This window comes from Homo sapiens, chromosome 17, assembly GCF_000001405.40.
Source record: "Homo sapiens chromosome 17, GRCh38.p14 Primary Assembly".
Classification (NCBI taxonomy): domain Eukaryota; kingdom Metazoa; phylum Chordata; class Mammalia; order Primates; family Hominidae; genus Homo; species Homo sapiens.
The window spans coordinates 8,377,218-8,398,305 of record NC_000017.11 but is presented as its reverse complement, the minus strand read 5'-3'; the positions used below and the strand labels follow the sequence as shown (position 1 = coordinate 8,398,305).

Below are 21,088 nucleotides of genomic sequence, written 5' to 3'. Positions count from 1 at the left end.
CTGGGTCTTTGGAGTTCTAAGCGCCTTTGGGTGTTCCATGAATGACAAATGCACACAGGCAGATCCCACAAATATATGACTCTGAGTGTCATAGACTTCCCGAGGCTGATCTACTACTGACCCCTTCACCCTGTGCATGGTGTGAGGATAGGGGTGTGGGGGGAAGATGGGGATCACAGAAATGGGTCCAGGAGGGTGGGAAGGACAGTGTGGGTGACTTTCCTATTGATAGGGAGACCCATGCCTGGGGAGCCTCAGTCAAAGGGGTCCTGGGTCACTGCCTCCACTGTGAGACCCTCTGACTCTCCTGAGCACCCACCCCTGGGCTCCTCCTCAAGCTGGGGGTTCCTCTCCTGGCATCCTCAGCAAGATCACCTGACTCCAGCAGCTGCCAACCCCCTGGGCAACGCCAAAGCCTCCTGGCCTCAAACGGGTTGGGCGACATTCACTTCCTCGCGCTGTCCTCCCGACCTGCTCTGTCATTAGGAATTGCCTCGGCGGTGGCGGTCACACTAACAGCAACAGGAGGAGATCGTGCTGCTGCTCAGCACCTCGGGGTGGCTCAGATCTGCTGGAGGCCCCAGGAGGGAAGGTGGATGCTGCTCTCTCCGGTCCCAGCTAAAGTGAGTCTAGGGGCCTGGATGGGCGTGGGGAAGGAGCTTGGCAATGTTGGAAGGTTGCCAACATTGGAAGGATGCAGGAGAATGAGAGAGAGAGAAATTGAGAGAGAGAGAGAAAGAGATACCTGTGGGTGAGCAACTAGTCACAGCTAAAGCTATAGGACCTTGCACTGGGGCTCCAGGAGGGAATCCCAGGTGCCTGGAAGTATCATTCTGTCCCACTGGCTCCTGTGCTGAGGTGGGGATGGGGGGTGTTTTCTCTGGGGTGGGGACACCTGCCCCCACACTCTGTTCCGGAGATGGGCTACTGCTGTGGGGGAGGCTCAGTACTGGGGCTTCCCAAGGTCAGCTCCCTTGGGCCAGCCATTGCCTTCCCCCTGCCTCCCAGGTGGCCAGAGGGGCATCCTTGTTTAGGGTCACTCTAAACCTAAAGAGGAAGGAACTTTGGGTAGTCACTTTTCTAACAGTGCTATTTCTTCTATTCCTTTGACCAAAGTCTGAAGACAAAGTCTTAAGCTCTGAGCCTCAGGTCCCTTATCTGTAAAATGAAGATAATCCCTACGCCCCAGCCTTGTTGTCAGGATCAGAAGAGGAAGGGATGCAAAATGCCAAGCATATAATTAGGATTCAATAAATGGTCGCTGTTGTAAATAATAATAATTATTTATTATTAGCTCAATACTGGTCCCACTTCACCTAGGAATACTTTCCAGCCCTCCTCTCCCCTCAGTTTCCTAAGGCACCAACAGGGATGCTTTGGCACTTACTGCATTCTTCTTCAACTCGTTTGTGCTCAAACTAGAGTATGTTCCTTGCATTTCTTCTGTTGCCCTCTCCCTCACCCCAGCATCCAAACAGAATCATACCATAAGAGGAACTCAAGGATGGGGAATGGAATGGGATTCAGAAAGCGAGAGAGGCAGAGGGAGGGGTCAGGGAAAGACTGAGAAAGGGAGGCAAGAAGGTGGGGAAGGAGGTAGCATCGTCCAGGTGTTGACGGCGTGGCTCTCCGGAAGCACGGGACGGGGGAAGGATTGCCCAGAGAGGCCATCGTTGGAAGCGGGAAGGACTGTCCAGAGAGGCCATCATTGGAAGGGGGAAGGATTGTCCGGAGAGGCCATCGTTGTAAGAGGGAAGGATTGCCCAGAGAGGCCATTGTTGGAAGGGAGAAGGATTGCCCAGAGAGGCCATCATTGGGGCCTCGGATGTCTTCTGCACTCCCTGGGTCCTTTTTACTTTTCCTCTAACTCGGATGAAAAGTAGAGGCTCTCCTTCTCCTTCCCTGCTCGTCTCAAGGAGGACGGTGCTTTCTAACTTGGCTAATACCTACTCACCCAATCTATCAGCTGATTCTAACAATGTTCTACCATCTACGGAATCTTCTCTGTCTCGGTTAACTCCCTCTCCGTCACCTTCACCGGTCACCTCAGGTGACTCACTTCCCTCTCTCTAGACATGGATCTGCTCATCTCTGAAACTAGGAGCTTCAACTAAGTGATCTCTAAAGTCCTTTTTCCCTCTAGTATTCCTTATTTGCTCTTCTTGTCAGCCTTGGTCTCTACTTCTCAGTTATCCAAACAACTTAAACCATTGATCATCAATACTCCTTTCAAAAAAATATCTTTTTCAAGAAAACTTATAAATGTCCACTAGGCTCTAAAGTTTTATAAGAACTTCCTTGGCCACTACTTATCCCCAATATGTAAGTCAGTACCTAGCACATAGCAGGTGCTCAATAAATATGTGTCGAATAATTAGACAGATGGATGGATGGATAGAAGGATGGAACTCTTGCCATCATACACTCTGGGGAGTTATGAAATGCAGGGAAACATATTAATAGTTGATTGGCTTAAGAAAATCATGCCCATCCTGATTATAATGGCTGTTTGGTATAAACATTTGCAAATGTGTTATGAAATAACTACCAAGAAAGATTGGAATAACCATTTAAATTATTATCCATTGCCCATCACTTATCTTATCCATTGTCATCTTGTTCCGTTATTCTAATTTGAGGTGAGCTGCCCTCTGTCAAGTGGGTGCGATTTTTTAATCATCCACATACTAAGGAACATTTGGGGATGAGAGGGAAGGAAAGGAAGGCAAATGCTGTGGCTGCCTCAAGAGCTGTGACAGGGGTCTCCAAGTCCCCTTTGGGAGAAGAGGGGACAGGACATGGTCTGTCTTAATAATGACAACTGCCATTTACTGAGCACTTACTCTGAGCCAGACTCTTCACTCACATTAGCTCACTTAATTCCCCCAACAACTCTCCGAGGAAGATGATACCATTATTATCAATTTCATCTTATGGACAGGAAACTGAGACTCAGAGAGGTTAAACAACTTGGCTAAGCTTATACAGACAGTAATGGGTAGATCAAAGATTTGAACCCCCATCCCCCATCCTGGGGGCCACATTGACCATCTCAAAGACCAAAGCTAGAAACTCCCAAAGAGGTTTGGGGGCCTCCTCCAGGATCCCAGATTCCTTATCCCACCTCCAAATATTTTTGCTCTTTGACTATGGGACATTTTCAACTCGGCAAAATAGATTTGGAGCCAAGCCAAGAGAGGGAGGGATTCTGAAAGATTTGTGATCTTAACAGTTGTCCTTCCTACACATTGATTTTGTTCCCACTATGTCATCTCTCAGGTCTGGGGGCTGCCATGCAACTCTATTTTATCAGTGTGTCCAGGGGTCTTTTGTCTCTGTCATGGATGGAAGAAAGCAGCAATAACAAGGAATCATGGTTCTTTTTAAAGAAGCTGTTCCAGATAAGTTTAGGCTACACAGTTGTGACACTGGGAACTTTTCAGTGCGGACACTTGGACCTCACCACACACCCCAGTGGATGTTTCCCTTCAAAGCCATCGACTTGGGAAGCCATGTAGTTAATCAAACAAATCTGCTCTCAGATTCTGTTTAAAACCCATCTTGTGGCCAGCGCCTTGGCTTGCGTCTGTAATCCCAGCACTTTGGGAGGCCAGCCGAGGCGGGCGGATCACCGGAGGTCAGGAGTTCAAGACCAGCCTGGCCAACATGGTGAAACTCTGTCTCTACTAAAATTACAAAAATTAGCCATGGGTGGTGGCATGCACCTGTAATGCCAGCTATTTGGGAGGCTGAGACAGGAGAATCTCTTGAACCCAGGAGGTGGAAGTTGCAGTGAGCTGAGGTTGCGCCACTGCACTCCTGACTGGGCGACAGAGCAAAACTCCCTCTCAAAAAAAAAAAAAAAAACAAACCATCTTGTTACTTTATATATCTTGTTACTTTATATCTTGCTACTCCATAGCTTTGATTTCAAACAATATCATGCCACTTGATCACTCATTTACTTTCCTATCAGACTTGGCTACCAGTGACTTCTGGGCATTTCCAAAGTATCAGACATATTCTCAAAGGATGAAATTCTGTCTCCATCACGGTTAATCAGATGCTTCTCTCACTGCCTCAGGCAGCCCCATAAGAAGAATTTGGAGAATGACTGAGCTGTGGCAGGTGAGGGAATGAACCTAAAGCTCCCTGACGTGACTATGTGGAGGGCCAGCAGGCATTTGAATGTGTAAGTTCTAAGCTTTGTTTTTTTAAACAGTCATTGCTTTATAGCCACACTTAGCACAGAGGAATGCAATCCAATGGCTGGAGGAAATCCAATGGACCCGCCAACCCCAGGTGAGGGCAGAGGTTGAGACTAGCACGGGCTTTTCTGGAAAATGGCCACTCTGGGTGCAGGTCCAAATTGGAGACTGGACTGGGGCTGTGCATGCATCTTCTTAGCCACCTGCTTCCCCTGGTAACAGGGACTTCCTTTCTTCACTTCCGTCACTGAAGCAGGAAGAGGTGAGGCAGTGACCTCACCATGTGTGTACATGATGATTGAGGTGAGACATCAGGAACTCCACACACCTCCTCCTGGGGTCCAGTGTGACTGGGTTCTCTGGTTCTCTGTCTCCCGATTCTCCCTTCCAGAAGCATCTGCTCCTCTCCTCCTAAGGGTCTGGGTTCTAGGTTTGAGTCAGGTGGGCCATAGAGGAGGAGCAGCAGAAGAGCCAAGAGTAGGAGGAAGAGAGAGGAGGCAGAAGACAGGGAGAGGGGATAAGGGGCAGTGGAGGCAGAGGTGTAGGTGGGAGTTAGGACGGGGGAGGGAAAGAGGAAATGCCCCAATATTCACAACCCTTCCCGTCCACAGCTGAGCGTGCCATCTCCCAGTGGCCATGTCAGAAGGGGAGAGCAAGGACAGCTCGGGCAGTGAGTGCCCCGTGTGCTATGAGAAGTTCCGGGACCTGGAGGGCGCCAGCCGGACGCTGAGCTGTGGCCATGTGTTCTGCCATGACTGCCTGGTCAAGTACCTGCTGTCCACCCGCGTGGATGGGCAGGTCCAGAGGACCCTGGTCTGCCCCATCTGCCGCTACGTCACATTCCTCAGCAAGAAGAGCTCCCGCTGGCCCTCCATGCTGGACAAGAGCTCCCAGACGCTGGCTGTGCCCGTGGGCCTGCCCTCCGTGCCCCCACTGGACAGCCTGGGCCACACAAACCCCCTGGCCGCCTCCTCCCCTGCCTGGAGGCCACCTCCAGGCCAGGCCAGGCCGCCAGGCAGCCCGGGCCAGAGCGCCCAGCTCCCCCTGGACCTGCTGCCCAGCCTGCCCCGGGAGTCACAGATCTTTGTCATCAGCCGCCACGGGATGCCCCTGGGGGAGCAGGACAGCGTGCTGCCCCGCCGCAGCCTGGCAGAGCTCTCGGAGGCCTCCCTGGCGCCCCGCTCCGCCCGCGCCTTCTGCTGCCGATCGCGGGCCCTGCTGCTCATCACGCTCATCGCTGTGGTGGCCGTGGTGGCCGCCATCCTGCCCTGGGTGCTGCTGGTGAGGAAGCAGGCGTGAGCCGCACCTCAGGGAGGCCGCCGGGCTAGCCGTGGCCTGGGGTGGGACAGGAGGCCCACGGCAGCCCTGGTGCCACCAAGCTCCGAGGGGCACGCGGGCAGGCAGAGGGGAGGACCTGGGCACAGAGAGGGCCTTGGGCTTCCCCGACCCCCGCAGGGGCTTCCGCTCGACAGAGAGGCTGGAGCTGACTCCATGCGCGCGGCGCGTGTTCCCCACGTGAATCCTCAGCAGATGCGTTCCCCTTCCTCTAGGCTGGGAAGATGGGTGGTCACTGCCCTCCTGCAGGCTCACCAGCCCTGAGCGGCAGACCTTACCTGCCAGGTGACCTGCCCAAAGCCAGGTGGGCCCCTCCAGGGACAAGAAAGTCCTGCAGGCAGACGTCCTGCTGGGCTGGCCGATGGCAGGATCCTCCAGGCCAGAATTCCCACCCAGGATTTGCGGCTTGCCCTCGGGAACAGACAGAAGGGGCGCCCAGAATCTCAGCACTCACCCCCGACCTCCACCACAGCACCCCATCCCCTAACCCTCCCTGTCCCCAACCTGCCAGCTTAGAAGGGCTTCCCTGAAGGAGAAGCTGATCTCAGAGGCTGCCCCAGAATTTCTGGGAGAATGAACAGAAACTGTTCTTCCTGCAGAGCTGAGGCCAGATCCAGAGACAGGGGTTGGTTGATAGAGGCCACCCCAGCAGAGTGCCCCACGAACGGAGCCAGAGGTCTCCCTGAGCCCTCCAGGCCAAAGGAGGGATCCAAACTTTGAGTCCTGGGGTTCTCAAGGGTGGCAGGGAGTGGAGGGGAAGCCTGACAGGCGAGCCTTGAGTCAGCTGAGAACTATGTGGGCAAACGAACCCCTGGGGGCTCCCGCCTCCCTCCCAGCTAGTCCTCCTCCTCATGACCCAGCCACTCATTTAGAGGCCACACCAGCTGGGCCAGTTTCCTAGGTGGATTGCCAGGCTGGGCTGGGTGAGGAAGGGTGGGGAGGAAAACAGCTGTGCTTGTCAGGGACGCCGCCATCTCAACCGAGAAATGCTGAGGCCCAGGTGCCCTCAGCTGCTCCTCAAGGTCTCTTTGCCTGGGGCCCCCACGTTGGACTGTGAAGAGCCTCAGGTTGGGTCTAGCCTGAGTCATTCGGGGATAGCTATTGGCTGTTTATTGAGGTCCGTAAGTCAACCAACACCTTTCAATGGAAAACAACAAAAACCTCCAGCAATTATCTCAACTAAGTGGTGGTCTGCACCCAGCTGTGCCCACAGCTGAGCCCCCAACCTCCCTCAACCTATACCCCTCTGGGCAATTTGCTGTCTTGGTGGGGAGGGAAGAAATAGCAGTCTACGTTTTATCTAGTTCCTAAATGCCTGCAGTGCTGGTCATTTGGGGACCGCTGGGGAATTGGGCCCCACTACAGGGGATATTTGGGACATAGAGAGGGCTGCTTTAAAAGCACTTGTGGGCTTCTCTGTGCTCATTTCAAGATTACAGAAGTGGCCAGGCACGGTGGCTCATGTCTGTAATCCCAGCACTTTGGGAGGCCGAGGTGGGTGGATCACAAGGTCAGGAGTTCGAGACCAGCCTGGCCAATATGGTGAAACCGCGTCTCTACTAAAAATACAAAAATTAGCCAGGAGTGGTGGCACGTGCCTGTAATCCCAGCTACCTGGGAGAGACAGAAGATTCGCTTGAACCCGGGAGGCGGAGGTTGCAGTGAGCCGAGATCGCGCCACTGCACTCCAGCCTGGGTGACAGAGCGAGACTCTGTCTAAAAAAAAAAAAAAATTACAGAAGAGCACAGGTGCTATTGGAGGGGAGGGATACAGATGGATTCCATGGGGAAAATATTTATTATAGGAATAAAAATAATGTTAAATTTGCAAAGACTCCAATGAGTCTCTTTTAACCTCAGCCAGGCTGTTTTAAACAGTGTCATGAATTTCTGGGAACCTGGTTCTAGTCTTTTCAGATTCTGTCGTATTTGCCAAAAGTTTCTTTCAACATACTCTCAGTGTTTTTGTATGTTCAATGGTGACCTGTAGCTGCAACTCCTTTTATTGTCAGAGAATGCCAAAAGCTATTTTTAAAATAAAGGTATATATTTTCTCAAAGATTCCAGAGACTCTGCAATTTATGTGGGAAGCTCCGAGCCTGGACTTGAAGGACAATTCACTTTAGGTGAAAAAGTTTGATGCGGTGTCTCACTCCTGTAATCCCAGCACTTTGGGAGGCCGAGGCAGGTGGATCACGAGGTCAGGAGTTCGAGACCAGCCTGGCCAGTATGGTGAAACCCCATCTCTACTAAAAATACAAAAAATTAGCCGGGCATGGTGGCGCACGCCTGTAATCCCAGCTACTCGGGAGGCTGAGGCAGGAGAATCGCTTGAACCTGGGAGGTGGATGTTGCAGTGAGCCGAGATCATGCCACTGCACTCCAGCTGGGTGACACAGCGAGACTCTGTCTCAAAAAAAAAAGAAAGAAAGAAAAGAAAGAAAGGAAAAGAAAAAGTTTGAAATGCAAACAGAAATGGCTCTTACACATCTATTCAACCACAGTTGCAAAAGAAATTAAAATTAAAATTTGGCTGGCATGCCATTTTTCACCTATGAGCTTGTCGAAACCTGGAAGCCTCATAACCCACTCCGCTACTGAAGCTGAGGGAGGCAGAGGAATGGTTAGTGGGAATGTGTATTATTAAAATCCCTATCAAGGGCAATGTGACATTATCTACCAAAATTTCTGCTTTGCTCCAGCAATTCCTGTTCTAGAAACATCCTACAGATATACTTGCATGTATGGGCAGCAGCATACATGTGATGCTATATAATTGCAGCATTGTTTATAAAAATAAAGGATTGGAAAAACCCTAAATGCTAATCAATAGGGTACTGGTTATCTATCTTAAGGTCCAGGGAATATCATGCAGCTGTAAAAGAAAAAAAAAAAAAGAACAAGAAAGGACTCAATAAACTTATATGGAATGTCTCCAAGGTACAATGGAAAATGAGGAAAAGCAAGGTGTGGAACACCGGATACTGGATACTACAATTTGTATAGAAAGAGCAGGAAATAGGCCAGGCACAATGTCTCACGCCTGTAATCCCAGCACTTTGGGAGGCCGAGGCGGGCGGATCACCTGAGGTCAGGAGTTCAAGACCAGCCTGGCCAACATGGTGAAACCCTGTCTCTACTAAAAATACAAAAATTAGTCGGGCTTGGTGGTACGTGCCCGTAATCCCAGCTAATAGGGAGGCTGAGGCAGGAGAATTGCTTGAACCCAGGAGGCGGAAGTTGCAGTGAGCTGAGATCGCACCGTTGCACTCCAGCCTGGGCGACAGAGCAAGACTCTGTCTCAAAAAAAAAGAAAAAGAAAGAAAGGGGGGGGAATAAGAATTTACATTCCTATTTGCTTACTTATGCATCAAAAAAGTGGGAATGCAGGGCACGGTGGTTCATGCCCAGCACTTTGGGAGGCCAAGGTGGGAGGATCACTTGAGGCCAGGAGTTCAAGACCAGCCTGGGCAACATAGTGAGACCCTATCTCTATTTTTTAAAAAAAATTGTAATTACCTTGTGGTGGCGCACCTCTGTAGCCCCAGCTACTCAGGGGGTTGAGGTGGGAGGGTCCCTTGAGCCCAGGAGGCTGCAGTGAGCTATGATTGCACCAGTGTACTCCAGCCTGAGCAACAGAGTAAGACCTTGATGACAGAAAGAAAAGAAAGACAAGAAGGGCAGAAGGGAGGGAGGGAGGGAGGGAGGGAGGAAGGAAGGAAGGAAGGAAGGAAGGAAGGAAGGAAGGAAGGAAGGAAGGAAGGAAGTTGGGAAGATGTACAAAACACTAATAATTCTGACTAGCCATGGAAAGGAATGAGAAAATGATGGAATGGGAAGGGGAGTTTTCACTTTACCTTTTTTTTTTTTTGAGACGGAGTCTTGCTCTGTCGCCCAGGCTGGAGTGCAGTGGCGCTATCTCGGCTCACTGCAAACTCCGCCTTCAGGGTTCACGCCATTCTCCTGCCTCAGCCTGCCGAGTGGCCGGGACTACAGGCACCCGCCACCAGGCCCAGCTAATTTTTTTGTATTTTTAGTAGAGACAGGATCTCACCGTGTTAGCCAGGATGGTCTTGATCTCCTGACCTTTTGATCCACCCACCTTGACCTCCCAAAGTGCTGGGATTACAGGCGTGAGCCACTGCGCCCGGCCTCACTTTACCTTAAATTTATCCCTTTTGATGTTTGAACCAAGTAAATTTAACATTCAAAAACTGAATTGAAAAATTATTAGAAGCTAAAGATATCTTCAGTGTACACGCCTGTTGCCAAGTAAGATTGCCCCAAGAACAGTCAAGAGCTGCCAAACCACCTGTCCTGTGGTTCGAGAGTGTCAACTACTGGTTTAGTGGGGCTGGTTTGTCTGGTTGGAGGTGTGACATCTTATGCTAACAGGCGCCCAAGGAGTAAGGTTTAAAAATTTAATGTTCTCAGTGTTCCTGAGTTCCTGAGCATTTCTCTGGGCCCCGTCATTGAATGTGCTTATTTTGATTCCCCCTTCTCTTCTTTTCCTCTTTGTTTTCAAATAAAATCTTTTGTTTTAAGCAACCATCATGCAGTGAGGGCACTACAGGACAATACCATTACACAGACAGAGATAGACAGATAGACAGATAGATAGATACATAGATAGATAGATAGATACATAGATAGTAGATAGATAGATAGATAGATAGATAGATAGATAGATAGATAGAGGGATGGATGCCTAGGGTTAAACTTAGTTGCTTTTCTCTTCCTCCCCTTGTCCAGAGGCACCCCAACCCCTGCAACACACACACACACACACACACACACACAGCCACTTCCCATCATAATAACCTTTAACAGTAATACACACTTACACAGTCTGAGCCTACCAGTCAAGCTTAAGGATCCATAGCATTGCCAGCAGGGCCCTGACGAGGGTTGCCAGGATCCTGGACAGGCATATTAGAGACCTCTGTGCCCCTCAGAAACAGTTCCATAACCTCTCCCCTCACTGAACCCTGTGTGACTCACAAGACCACTCAGCTGCTATCTCCTTTTGACCTCCTTGTCAGTATAAATGTCCTTTTTGGGTCCAGGTGCAGTGGCTCATGCCTGTAATCCCAGCACTTTGGGAGGCCGAGGCAAGCGGATCACGAGGTCAGGAGTTCGAGACTAGCCTGGCCAACATGGTGAAACCCTGTCTCTACTAAAAATACAAAAATTAGCCAGGCATGATGGCGTGCACCTGTAATCCCAGCTACTCAGGAGACAGAGGCAGGAGGATCGCTTGAACCCGGGAGGTGGAGGTTACAATGAGCCAAGATTGTGCCACTACACTTCAACCTGGGCAACAGAGTGAGACTCCATCTCAAAAAAAAAAAAGTCCTTTTTCAGGGACACACAATAAACAACTTTGCCTCACCCTTACAACTCCTCCTCCTACCGGGATAAATTAACTCCACAGCTCATTCTCAGCACAAACCACTTGCAGTTCCCAATATGCAGTGGGGTGCAGGCCTGGGCCTTTGCTTATGAGCCTCACTCCGCCTGAAACACACCCCCCCACCCCAACCCCCACTCCACCCCATCTACCTGGAAAACTCCTACCTAGCTTTTCAGAAACAGTATAGTTCCAGGGTTACCTCTGAAGACGTGCCCACTTCCTTGCTCAAGGGAACTGCCAGCTCCTACGCCGCCCCCCCATCCCCCACAAAGCATCCATCGGTGACACTTGATTATGCTTATCTGGTCACATCTGTCTCCTCCTTAACGAAGTGCTCCTTCCGGGGAGGCTAGATCTTATAGATCTTGGTATCTCCAGTGCCTGACACAGAATTTAGTAAACAGTAAGAGCTGGAGAAATATTTGGAGAATGAGTGAATGAATGAATAAACCTGACAGCTTGGTGTTTAGAAAAAAGTTAAGTCTAATCAACTCTGGGTGTGGAATCTAGCTATAATCCCTGCTTTGCTATGTCTGAAGGCTTCAAAATGATCCTAAAGGGACCTTTTTCAAATCCAGGAAGAGGAATGTGGGCAGCGAGGGAGAGAGAGTGCAGTCAGACTAGGCTGCAGGGTGAAGGCAAGACACCCAACAGACACGTTAAGAGAAAGGGGGCCGGGCACGGTGGCTCACGCCTGTAATCCCAGCACTTTGGGACGCCAAGGCGGGCGGATCACGAGGTCAGGAGATCGAGACCATCCTGGCTAACACGGTGAAACCCCGTCTCTACTAAAAATACAAAAAGAAATTAGCCGGGCATGGTGGCGGGAGCCTGTGGTCCCAGCTACTCGGGAGGCTGAGGCAGGAGAATGGCGTGAACCCGGGAGGCAGAGCTTGCAGTGAGCCGAGATAGCGCCACTGCACTCCAGCCTGGGTGACAGAGCCAGACTCCGTCTCAAAAAAAAAAAAAAGAGAGAAAGGGACGGCCAGGCGTGGTAGCTCACGCCTGTAATCCCGGCACTTTGGGAGGCCGAGGCAGGCAGATCACTTGAGGTCTGGAGTTCGAGACCATCCTGGCCAATGTGGTGAAACCCCATCTCTACCAAAAATAAAAAAATTAGCCAGCCGGGAGTAGTGGCTCATGCCTGTAATCTCAGCTACTCAGAAGGCTGAGGCAGGAGAATTGCTTGAACCCAGGAGGCAGAGGTTGCAGTGAGCAGATATTGCGCCACTGTACTCCAGCCTGGGTGACAGAGCGAGACTCCGCCTCAAAAAAAAAACAAAAAACAAAAAAAAACAGATAGGGACGTTCTAACTAGGCTACTGGCCATTTGCATCTGTATGGACAATTTGTACCCTGCAAATTTTCACATTGTATCAAGTGTCATGCTGTATGGATGGTGGGCTGAAGGTTTAATTTTTTTTTTTTTTGAGACAGAGTCTTGCTCTGTCTCCCAGGCTGAAGTGCAGTGGCATGATCTCCACTCACTGCAAGCTCCGCCTCCCAAGTTCATGCGATTCTCCTGCCTCAGCCTCCCGAGTAGCTGGGATTACAGGTGCACACCGCCACGCCCGGCTAATTTTTTTTTTTTTTAGTAGAGATGGGGTTTCGCCATGCTGGCCAGGCTGGTCTTAAACTTCTGGCCTTAACTTCTGACCTCAAGTCTGCCTGCCTCGGCCTCCCAAAGTGCTAGGATTACAGGCGTGAGCCACCATGCCCGGCCTGAAGGTTTCATTTTGAGACTCGGTATTGAACAGAGGGAGAAAGAAAGGAAGGCCTGGGAGGGTAGGGTGTCAGCAGAGGATGTGAGGGCTGAGGAAACAGAGAGGGCCTTGGTGGGAAGACAGGAAGACGATGGGGACACCCGAACAGGAAGGGAGTTGGGAAACTAGTAAGGACAGTAGGAAGAAAGAGAAGGAGTGACAACGTGAAGGCCAGAAAGGCAAGGCAAGGAAGGAAGGCAGGCACCTTCGGCAGCTCCCTAGGACTTCCAGACCCAAATCACACTCAGCTCAGCCCTAGAGCCCCTGGGCTCCCGTCTAAATGCCTCTCTTCAGCGGCAAGGACCTGGTTCCTGGAAAACACGAGTCACGCTGCTTCACACCTCCAAGCCTTCCTTCAAGCAATTCCTACTGCCTTGTGGAGCGAATGCTAACATTCTTCCAATTCCAGTCAATGCTGACCTCACCTCAGAAGTCTTCCCTGACCCCAGAGCTCCCTTCTGCTCCTGAATCACAGAGACAGCAAGGGCAGCTGGCTCAGCGAGCACTTTTCCTGTGGTCTCGTGGCTGTTGATTCCCTTGTCTATCTTTTCTTGTAGACAGTAAACTTCCTGAAGGCACAAACTTTGACCTATTTTGCATCGCCAGTGTCTAGTTTCAGGGCTGGCCCAGGAAAGAAGCCTCATAAATATTTGTTGAAAAGAGTCGCAGCAGAGGAATTCTTGCTGAATTTTTCAGTGATGAATAAAATCTAGGGCTACTTCCTTCACAGCATATTTAAGAACACAACTATTTTTAAATCATGAAAACGCATGTTCGTTGCTGACCATCCTCTGGGCAGTCCTGACTATGAGGTTCCCACAAATTGGGGCCATATACAGTTCCCAGAAGAGGCCGGGGAGCCAGCCTGCACGGGTTCTGCTGTGACTTATGGGTCCTGTATAACCTTGCACCAAGTTCCTCTCATTTCTCTGTGGCTGAGTTGCCCAATCTGTAAAATGGGGACAATAATACCAGCAACAACAGAGCCATTTTGTGGATTAAAAGAATTCATGATGTAAAGTGTAGAGAAGAGCGTCCCCACACTCAGAAGGCTCACTACGTCTTCGGTATTCTTGTGAAACGCCTGTCCTCTGTCACTGTGACACCCGTGTCATTCATTCAGCAGAAGCCGTTCAGCGCCGGTGCCTGCTGCACTGCCGCTGCCTCAGAAACCATTTGCAGGGGCCGGGCGCGGTGGCTCACGCCTGTAATCCCAGCACTTTGGGAGGCTGAGGCGGGCGGATTGCCTGAGGTCGGGAGTTCGAGACCAGCCTGGCCAACATGGTGAACCCTCGTCTCTACTAAAACTACAAAAATTAGCCGGGCGTGGTGGCGGGCGCCTGTAATCCCAGCTACTCAGGAGGCTGAGGCAGGAGAACCCGGGAGGCGGAGGTTGCAGTGAGTGGAGATCGTGCCAGTGCGCTCCAGCCTGAGCAACAAGAGCGAAACTGTCTCAAAAAGAAGAAAAAGACACACACACACACACACACACACACACACACACACACACACACACACACACACACACACACACACGAAGAAGAAGAAAAGAAACCATTTGCAGGGAGCGCACGGCTTCCGTCTGGTCCTGAACTGGACGCAAACAGGCCGAGCATTTAGAAACCCGCGCAGCTCCCCGCACCGAGAGGCTTCCTCTCGCCTGGCTCCTTCGAAGCGTGGTCTGGACCAGCACCTCCCACAGCACTGGGGGCGCCTTGGAAACGCGGCCTTGGACCTATTTCCGCGGGGGCAGGCGGCGATCGGTGGCCCTGGTCCTCGCAAGGCCCCTCACCACCCAGAACTGAATCTCTGGCGGGCCCTGCTGTGCGGTCAGCAGACGCCCAGGTGCAGGGGCGGTGGCCGGCGTCGCGGTGGAGCTCGTTAAAGTACCGGCACGCTGGCCGCGCCCACGCCACGGGCGGGAGGGGACGGTGAGTGCAGGGACCCAGGCGACCGGCCGGCCGGCGTCCCCGCGCCTCCTGGCGGCCAGAAGCAGGGCCTGCGCTTCCCCGGCTAAGGGGTGCCGGCCCCCGCCCCGGCACCTGGGAGTGAAGGTACCAGCGGGTCTCCTGGGCGGTCTCCTGGGGCCGCTCGTTCCTTCATCACCCCCAGGGGCAGTTGGACCCTGAGCAGCCTTAGCCAATAGCCCCGGGACTACCCTTCCCAGAGGATTCAGCGGCAGCACCCGGGTCTCGGAAGGGAGACACTAGGACCTGGAGGAGGGGAGTTTTGCAATCCCTCGCAGTTCCCCTCCTAGCCACTAGGTGACACTAGCCATAAATTTATTTCCCAGTTTACTCCCCTCGCTCAAACTCCGCGCCCCTCTCGCTCCGAGAGACATAGGTCTCGCGAGATCTTTGGTAAACTTACAGAACCGGAAGCAGCGTGTAGTTCTCTTCCCTTTTGCGGCCATCACCGAAGCGGGAGCGGGTAAGGATTCGGCGGGCAAGCGGGTGTAATCAGCAGCCATCCGTTCTTGGGCATGGTGGCTTCCGACCGCGGGGACCCCGAGAGTCTCTTGTCGGCCGAGTAGCAGCCAGGAAGGAGAGACTGGGATGGTTTTTTATCTGTTGCTTTCTTAAATCAAGGGCCGCCGGGCCGGAGATGGATGGAGGGACCGGGGATTTGGGAACTCGAAAACGAGCTGAGGGAAGGGAGCCTGTGGAAATAGACTGGAGTCTGGGTAGTGTCGTTTCCTAGAGAATGGTCTCGAAGTAACTTCTCGGTAAAGTCTTCACGGAATTTCCAGACCACACTTGCCCACTGGGAGGCTTTTAGGACCCGAGACGTGTGCAGGCTTTTCCAGGTTCGGGTTGGTGGGCCTTATTCATTTTGGCGGGGCTATACGTATTCACTCTTAAGCCTGTAGAAGATGAACGTTGATTGTACCTTCTAAAACGTGAGGTTATAGTTAAGAGAATTGCGTTGTCGGTCTGCTCAGCAGAGATGTAAGTCCAGTCTTGATTTCCTCAGGCACTACTTGAGGAGTTGGGAGAGTGTAACTAAAAGGTCTTATAACTAGGACAAGTGTTTTTGATGCAAAAGTCTTTAGTCCGTAAACATATACAGAAAACACCCGAATAAAACAAAAAATAAAAAGTTTCGAGCTTCGGTTGATAGGCCCTTCCGATCAAACAGTTTTTGTTGAAGTTGCACAACATGACACTGCCTATGATCATTCTAGACTATCAAGATAAAATCATTGCGGTTATTTGTTTGGAAGCTGGATGAGATTTTGGTCATTTAAGAGTCTTTTTAACTTTTTATTTAGCCAAAATGAAGTTTAATCCCTTTGTGACTTCCGACCGAAGCAAGAATCGCAAAAGGCATTTCAATGCACCTTCCCACATTCGAAGGAAGATTATGTCTTCCCCTCTTTCCAAAGAGCTGAGACAGAAGTACAACGTGCGATCCATGCCCATCCGAAAGGATGATGAAGTTCAGGTGTGTATCCCTACTTGTTCTCGTTGTCTTGATGGATATTTTACGCACTTAGCTTAGAAGAGAGATTGCATTCCTGAGAAAGATGCTTCTGAGACTCTTGCTCCCAAAGAGTGGCAAGATGAGTTGAGCCAGGGACCAAAAAACAGTAAGTAAGCTGCTTTTCAGTTTTTAATTGTATTATTTGGTGAAAATCTTTTTTTTTTTTTTTTTTGAGATGAAGTCTCGCTCTTGTCCCCCCCAGGCTGGAGTGCAGTGGTGCCATCTCAGCTCACTGCAACCTTCGCCTCCCGGGTTCAGGCGATTCTCCTGCCTCAGCCTCCCGAGTAGCTGGGATTACAAGCGCCCGCCACCACGGCTCGGCTAATTTTTGTGTTTTTAGTAGAGGCGGGGTTTCACCATGTTGGGCAGGGTGGTCTCGAACTCATGGCGTCAGGTGATCAGCCCGCCTCAGCCTCCCAAAGTGCTGGGATTACAGGCGTGAGCCACCGCGCCCGGCTGAGATGGGGTCTCACTCTTACCCAGACTGGAGTGCAGTTGCGTGGTCATGGCTCTTGTGGGCTCAAGTGATGCTCCCATGTAGGACCTTTTTTTTGTTTCTGTAGAGAGGGGTCTCACTTTACTGCCCAGATTGGTCTCCAACTCCTGGGGATCCTGCCCGAAAATCAGTTTCCTCAAACGTCAGATGATGTGACCATAATTAGGTGACATAATCAGAACATTGCTTTGGGATTAATCCTTTTATCAATATATTGTGACTACCCAACAGGCTCATTTTGCCTGCTGTCCAGATAGAGCCGATTTATCTAGACAGGAATTGCAATAGAGAAAGAGTTTAATTCATGCAGAGCCAGAACGAGAGACCAGAGTTAACTACTCAAATCATTCTCCCGGAAAATTTAGGGATGGGAGTTTTTTTAAGGATAATTTGGCAGGTAGGGGGCCAGGGAGTGGGGCGTGTTGACAGGTCGTATCAGAGATGAAGGCATAGGGAGTTGAAGCTGTCTTCTTGCTCTGAGTTGGTTCCTGGATGGGGGCCACAAGATCAGATGAGCCAGTTTATTGATCTGGGTGGCACCAGCGGATCCATCAGTGCAGGGTCTGAAAAAAAAAAATCACACAAATCTTAGGCTTTACAGTGTGTTATCCCTAGGAGCAATTGGGGAAGCCTCTAGCTGCCTAAACTGTAATTTCTAGTCTTGCAGCTAATTTGTTAGCCTACAAAGGCAGTCTGGTACCCAGGCAAGAAGGGGGTTTGTTTCAGGAAAGCACTGTTAGCATCTTTGTTTCAAAGTTAACCTGTAGACTAAGTTCCTCCCAAAGTTAGTTTGGTCTATGCCCAGGAATGAACAAGGACATCTTGGAGGTTAGAAGCAAGATGGGAGTTAGGTCAGTTCTCTTTAACTGCTGTAATTTTCTCACTGTTGGCAATTTTTGGAAAGGAGGTTTCAATGTTTGGTCATTGAAGAGGCAGTTGAGGACCAGTAAACAGAATTGCTCCCAATCTAGATTCAGGAGCTGTAACTGAAGCACAGTCACGTTATCGTTTGCACTTACAGGTAAATAATTTGTTGCATCTATTTAGGTGAAGGTTTCTATAAATGACCCTTAGGTGTAATCTGTAGTGCAGCTAGTGATTAAAGAATTCAGGCAGTCTCTAAAGCCATTTACATACACACCATCAATATTTTTTCATGCCTATTTCAAAAAGATGAAATGGGTTCCCAAACAAGCAGTGTGGGTTGAGAACAGCCGTTGGTCCCTGCTGCAGTAGTGCTAAACTTGCCAGTAGACCTTGAAAACTGTCATCTCTGTTTTCAATACATACCAATGCAAGAAAGTCACAAACTGGGAAGAAGAATCTGTTCAGAAATACTTGTCCTCACAAACTGAGGACCACTGGGATTCCTGTCCACTAACCTTTGGGAAAGAATTGGTTTGTTCCGTTAAGCATTTGTTGCTGCCCTCTGACTAGCACTAGGTTGCACACATTAATGGGTTCAGATTTAAATACTCTTGGTCTGTTGCTGCTTTTGAGATGGAGTAACAGATTCCTTGTTGTCAACTTCTTACAGGTTGCCGAAGTGGGCTCTTTTTTTTAACCTTTTAATATAATGATAGGGTGAATGGTGTATGCATGAGTTTGTTTACTTGATTTACAAGGTTAATCTTTTATTCAAATATTTGTTACTTTTGAATTTGCTCTTAGGTTGTACGTGGACACTATAAAGGTCAGCAAATTGGCAAAGTAGTCCAGGTTTACAGGAAGAAATATGTTATCTACATTGAACGGGTGCAGCGGGAAAAGGCTAATGGCACAACTGTCCACGTAGGCATTCACCCCAGCAAGGTAGGTGTTTTTGAGAATGCTTGAGAGAAGGAAATTATGGCAATTATTGTTGACATGATTGTTTACAGAGCAAGGCCATAGAAATAGTCCTTGATTTTACATGTGCTGGAAAAAAACATTTTAAAGTAAATACTACTGCACTTGTATTGAAAATTCTAATACCATTTAAAATGTTTCTGACATCAAAGTGTTAACGGTCATTATGTTTCTGTTAGTTTGTTTTTGAGACAGTCTTGCTCTTTCACCCAGGCCGGAGTGCAGTGGCACAATCTCGGCTCACTGCAGCCTCCACCTCCCAAGTGCAAGCGATTCTCCCGCCTCAGCCTCCTGAGTGTAGCTGTGACTACATGCGTGCACCACTACACCCGGCTAATTTTTGTACTTCTTAGTACAAAGTTTCACCATGTTGGCCAGGCTGGTCTTGAACTCCTGACCTCAGGTGATTTGCCTGCCTCAGCCTCCTAAAGTGCTGGGATTACAGGCATGAGCCACCATGCCTGTCCCATTATGTATATTGGGCGGAGGTTGCAGTGAGCCGAGATCGCACCATTGCACTTCAGCCTAGGCAACGAGTGAAAACGCCATCTCAAAAAAAAAAAAAGAAAAAAAATAAAGACCTTAACTGATCTTCCCTTACTTCTGACATCTTTTTCCATTCTATATGTTCTAGTCTGCTCGCCTCCTAGCAACTTGGTAGAATTATAAATTCTAAGAGCCCAGGCCTACTGAGGCAAAATTAGGGCTTATGACCCAGGTGTATGTTTTAATAAGCCCTCCAGTTGATTCTTACTCAAGTTTGAGAAACACATCTATGAAACTTGATAATCTCCTGCCTTTGAACCTTTCAACTTGCTGTTCTCTTCCAGATACCTGTGCATAGATAGATTGCTCACCACTTTAGGTCTCTGTTCAAATGTAGGGCTTTGCTTGATCACTCTAGAAAGCCCCTCGGCCTCCTCACACTTGCCTTCTTACTCTATCAAAGTGATGTAGATTCACTTGTAAATGTTTTCGGGCTCCCTATACTAGAATATGAGTTCAGTGACTGTGGAGATTTTTGTTTGGTCTGCATGCTGTATTTCCAGCACCTCTTTTCACCCTTTCCTCGCATTCATAAGACTAAAATTTATCATAATTTGGATGTCTTTTAGGATTGGAACTGTTGGAGTAAGATCGTATTGTCATCTTCTCACTAAAGATTTTGCAGGTGGAATTATGTGTGGATGCTACCTTTAATTTCTAGCATTAAAATTCTGAAGTTACTTTATTATTTTTCTGTTTGGGGGTGGGGTTTTTTTTGTTTTGGACAGAGTTTTGCTCTTGTCGCCCAGCCTGGAAGTGCAATGGTGCGATCTCAGCTCACTGCAACCTCTGCTTCCTGGGTTCAAGCGATTCTCCCGCAGTAGCCTCCTGAGTAGGCATTCACCACACCCTGCTGTTTTGTTACTTGTTTGTTTTTTGAGATGGAGTCTCGATTGATCGCCCAGGCTGGAGTGCAATAATAGCACCATCTCAGCTCACTGCAGCCTCCGCCCCCCCAGGGTTCCAGAGATTCTCCTGCCTCAGCCTCCCAGGTAGCTGGGATTACAGGCATGTGCCACCATACCCAGCTAATTTTTGTATTTTTAGTAGAGAAGGGGTTTCACCGTGTTGGCCAGACTGGTCTCAAACTCCTGACCTCAGGTGATCCGCCTGCCTCTGCCTCCCAAAGTGCTGGGATTGGGGGCATGAACCACCGCACCCAGCCTGAAGTTACTTTGGAAACAAATATATTTGTATATGACAGCTTGTAAAACTGTAGTGAGAAGAGCAGAATCATATATTTCTCAGTGAAAAAGAAACAAATCTTATAATGAAGCACAGAAGAGGCTTTAAGAATTACTGATACCATCTTGCCTTTTCTCCTTTGTTGGTAGGAAATTAGTAAATAAGCCAGGTTTGATGGCTAAAGAGTGATTTCTGGAGTTTTTTAAAAGTTAAAATCTTTTCTTATTAGGCATCCACCTACCCCAGGTTTGGGAAATGGTATTGAATGTTGGGCTTTCCCTTGTGTTTTAGTGATTATTTAAAGCTTGGGAGTGTTTTTTTCTTATTTTTCTGCAGGTGGTTATCACTAGGCTAAAACTGGACAAAGACCGCAAAAAGATCCTCGAACGGAAAGCCAAATCTCGCCAAGTAGGAAAGGAAAAGGGCAAATACAAGGAAGAAACCATTGAGAAGATGCAGGAATAAAGTAATCTTATATACAAGCTTTGATTAAAACTTGAAACAAAGAGCCTGTGTTTTGTGTGTGGTGATTTAGGACACTCCCTAGTTTTCAGTGGATCAGTCTCTTACCTCTGATTTGTTGGTCTAAAATTTTTCTGAAATCAGGACTGATGAGATTTTTTTTATAGTGGGCAGCAGCATTTGAGGATATATCAGAAGCTGGAGGGGTGTCATTGAGAAGAAGAAGGCCTACAAGAAAAGCTAGTTGGAAACACTTCCTCTTGAACCTGTCTTTTAACTTGCTTACTATGGATAGGTTGCTATATGGACAGGCTATATTTTTTACCTTACTGCGTAAAAGTTTGTATTG

At 49.3% G+C, this 21,088-nt stretch overlaps 2 protein-coding genes across 7 annotated transcripts, besides 4 other annotated features; both read left to right on the top strand.

Moving 5' to 3' along the window:
* The first annotated feature begins 478 nt into the window (after positions 1-478).
* RNF222 (ring finger protein 222) lies at positions 479-7,604 on the top strand. Of its 4 annotated transcripts, none has more exons than NM_001146684.3 (3): positions 479-611; positions 3,977-4,128; positions 4,820-7,604. In NM_001146684.3, the coding sequence occupies exon 3, from the start codon at positions 4,845-4,847 to the stop codon at positions 5,505-5,507; it is 663 nt and encodes a 220-aa protein (NP_001140156.1). In that variant the 5' UTR covers positions 479-611; positions 3,977-4,128; positions 4,820-4,844; the 3' UTR covers positions 5,508-7,604. The 4 variants fall into 4 exon arrangements, with proteins under 4 accessions (NP_001140156.1, XP_011522280.1, XP_011522282.1 ...); XM_011523978.4 differs by having other exon boundaries at positions 479-623; positions 4,085-4,192; XM_011523980.4 differs by lacking the exon at positions 3,977-4,128 and having other exon boundaries at positions 479-623.
* Positions 14,220-14,937: an enhancer, noted in NCBI's record as "H3K27ac-H3K4me1 hESC enhancer chr17:8286687-8287404 (GRCh37/hg19 assembly coordinates)". NCBI's record gives its function as "activates a minimal SCP1, AML or CMV promoter by ChIP-STARR-seq in primed H9 embryonic stem cells {active_cell/tissue: H9 hESC(primed)}" and the evidence as "EXISTENCE:reporter gene assay evidence [ECO:0000049][PMID:30033119]".
* Positions 14,519-14,788: a silencer, noted in NCBI's record as "silent region_8181". NCBI's record gives its function as "represses an Ori minimal core promoter by ATAC-STARR-seq in GM12878 lymphoblastoid cells {active_cell/tissue: GM12878}" and the evidence as "EXISTENCE:reporter gene assay evidence [ECO:0000049][PMID:35858748]".
* Positions 14,938-15,655: an enhancer, noted in NCBI's record as "H3K27ac hESC enhancer chr17:8285969-8286686 (GRCh37/hg19 assembly coordinates)". NCBI's record gives its function as "activates a minimal SCP1, AML or CMV promoter by ChIP-STARR-seq in primed H9 embryonic stem cells {active_cell/tissue: H9 hESC(primed)}" and the evidence as "EXISTENCE:reporter gene assay evidence [ECO:0000049][PMID:30033119]".
* Positions 15,113-20,790, top strand: RPL26 (ribosomal protein L26). Of its 3 annotated transcripts, none has more exons than NM_000987.5 (4): positions 15,113-15,149; positions 15,991-16,163; positions 18,370-18,510; positions 20,614-20,790. In NM_000987.5, exons 2-4 carry the CDS (start codon positions 15,996-15,998, stop codon positions 20,740-20,742), a joined length of 438 nt encoding a protein of 145 aa, NP_000978.1. In that variant the 5' UTR covers positions 15,113-15,149; positions 15,991-15,995; the 3' UTR covers positions 20,743-20,790. The 3 variants fall into 3 exon arrangements, with proteins under 3 accessions (NP_000978.1, NP_001302460.1, NP_001302459.1); NM_001315531.2 differs by having other exon boundaries at positions 15,113-15,444; NM_001315530.2 differs by having other exon boundaries at positions 15,113-15,525.
* Positions 15,189-15,358: an enhancer, noted in NCBI's record as "active region_11698". NCBI's record gives its function as "activates an Ori minimal core promoter by ATAC-STARR-seq in GM12878 lymphoblastoid cells {active_cell/tissue: GM12878}" and the evidence as "EXISTENCE:reporter gene assay evidence [ECO:0000049][PMID:35858748]".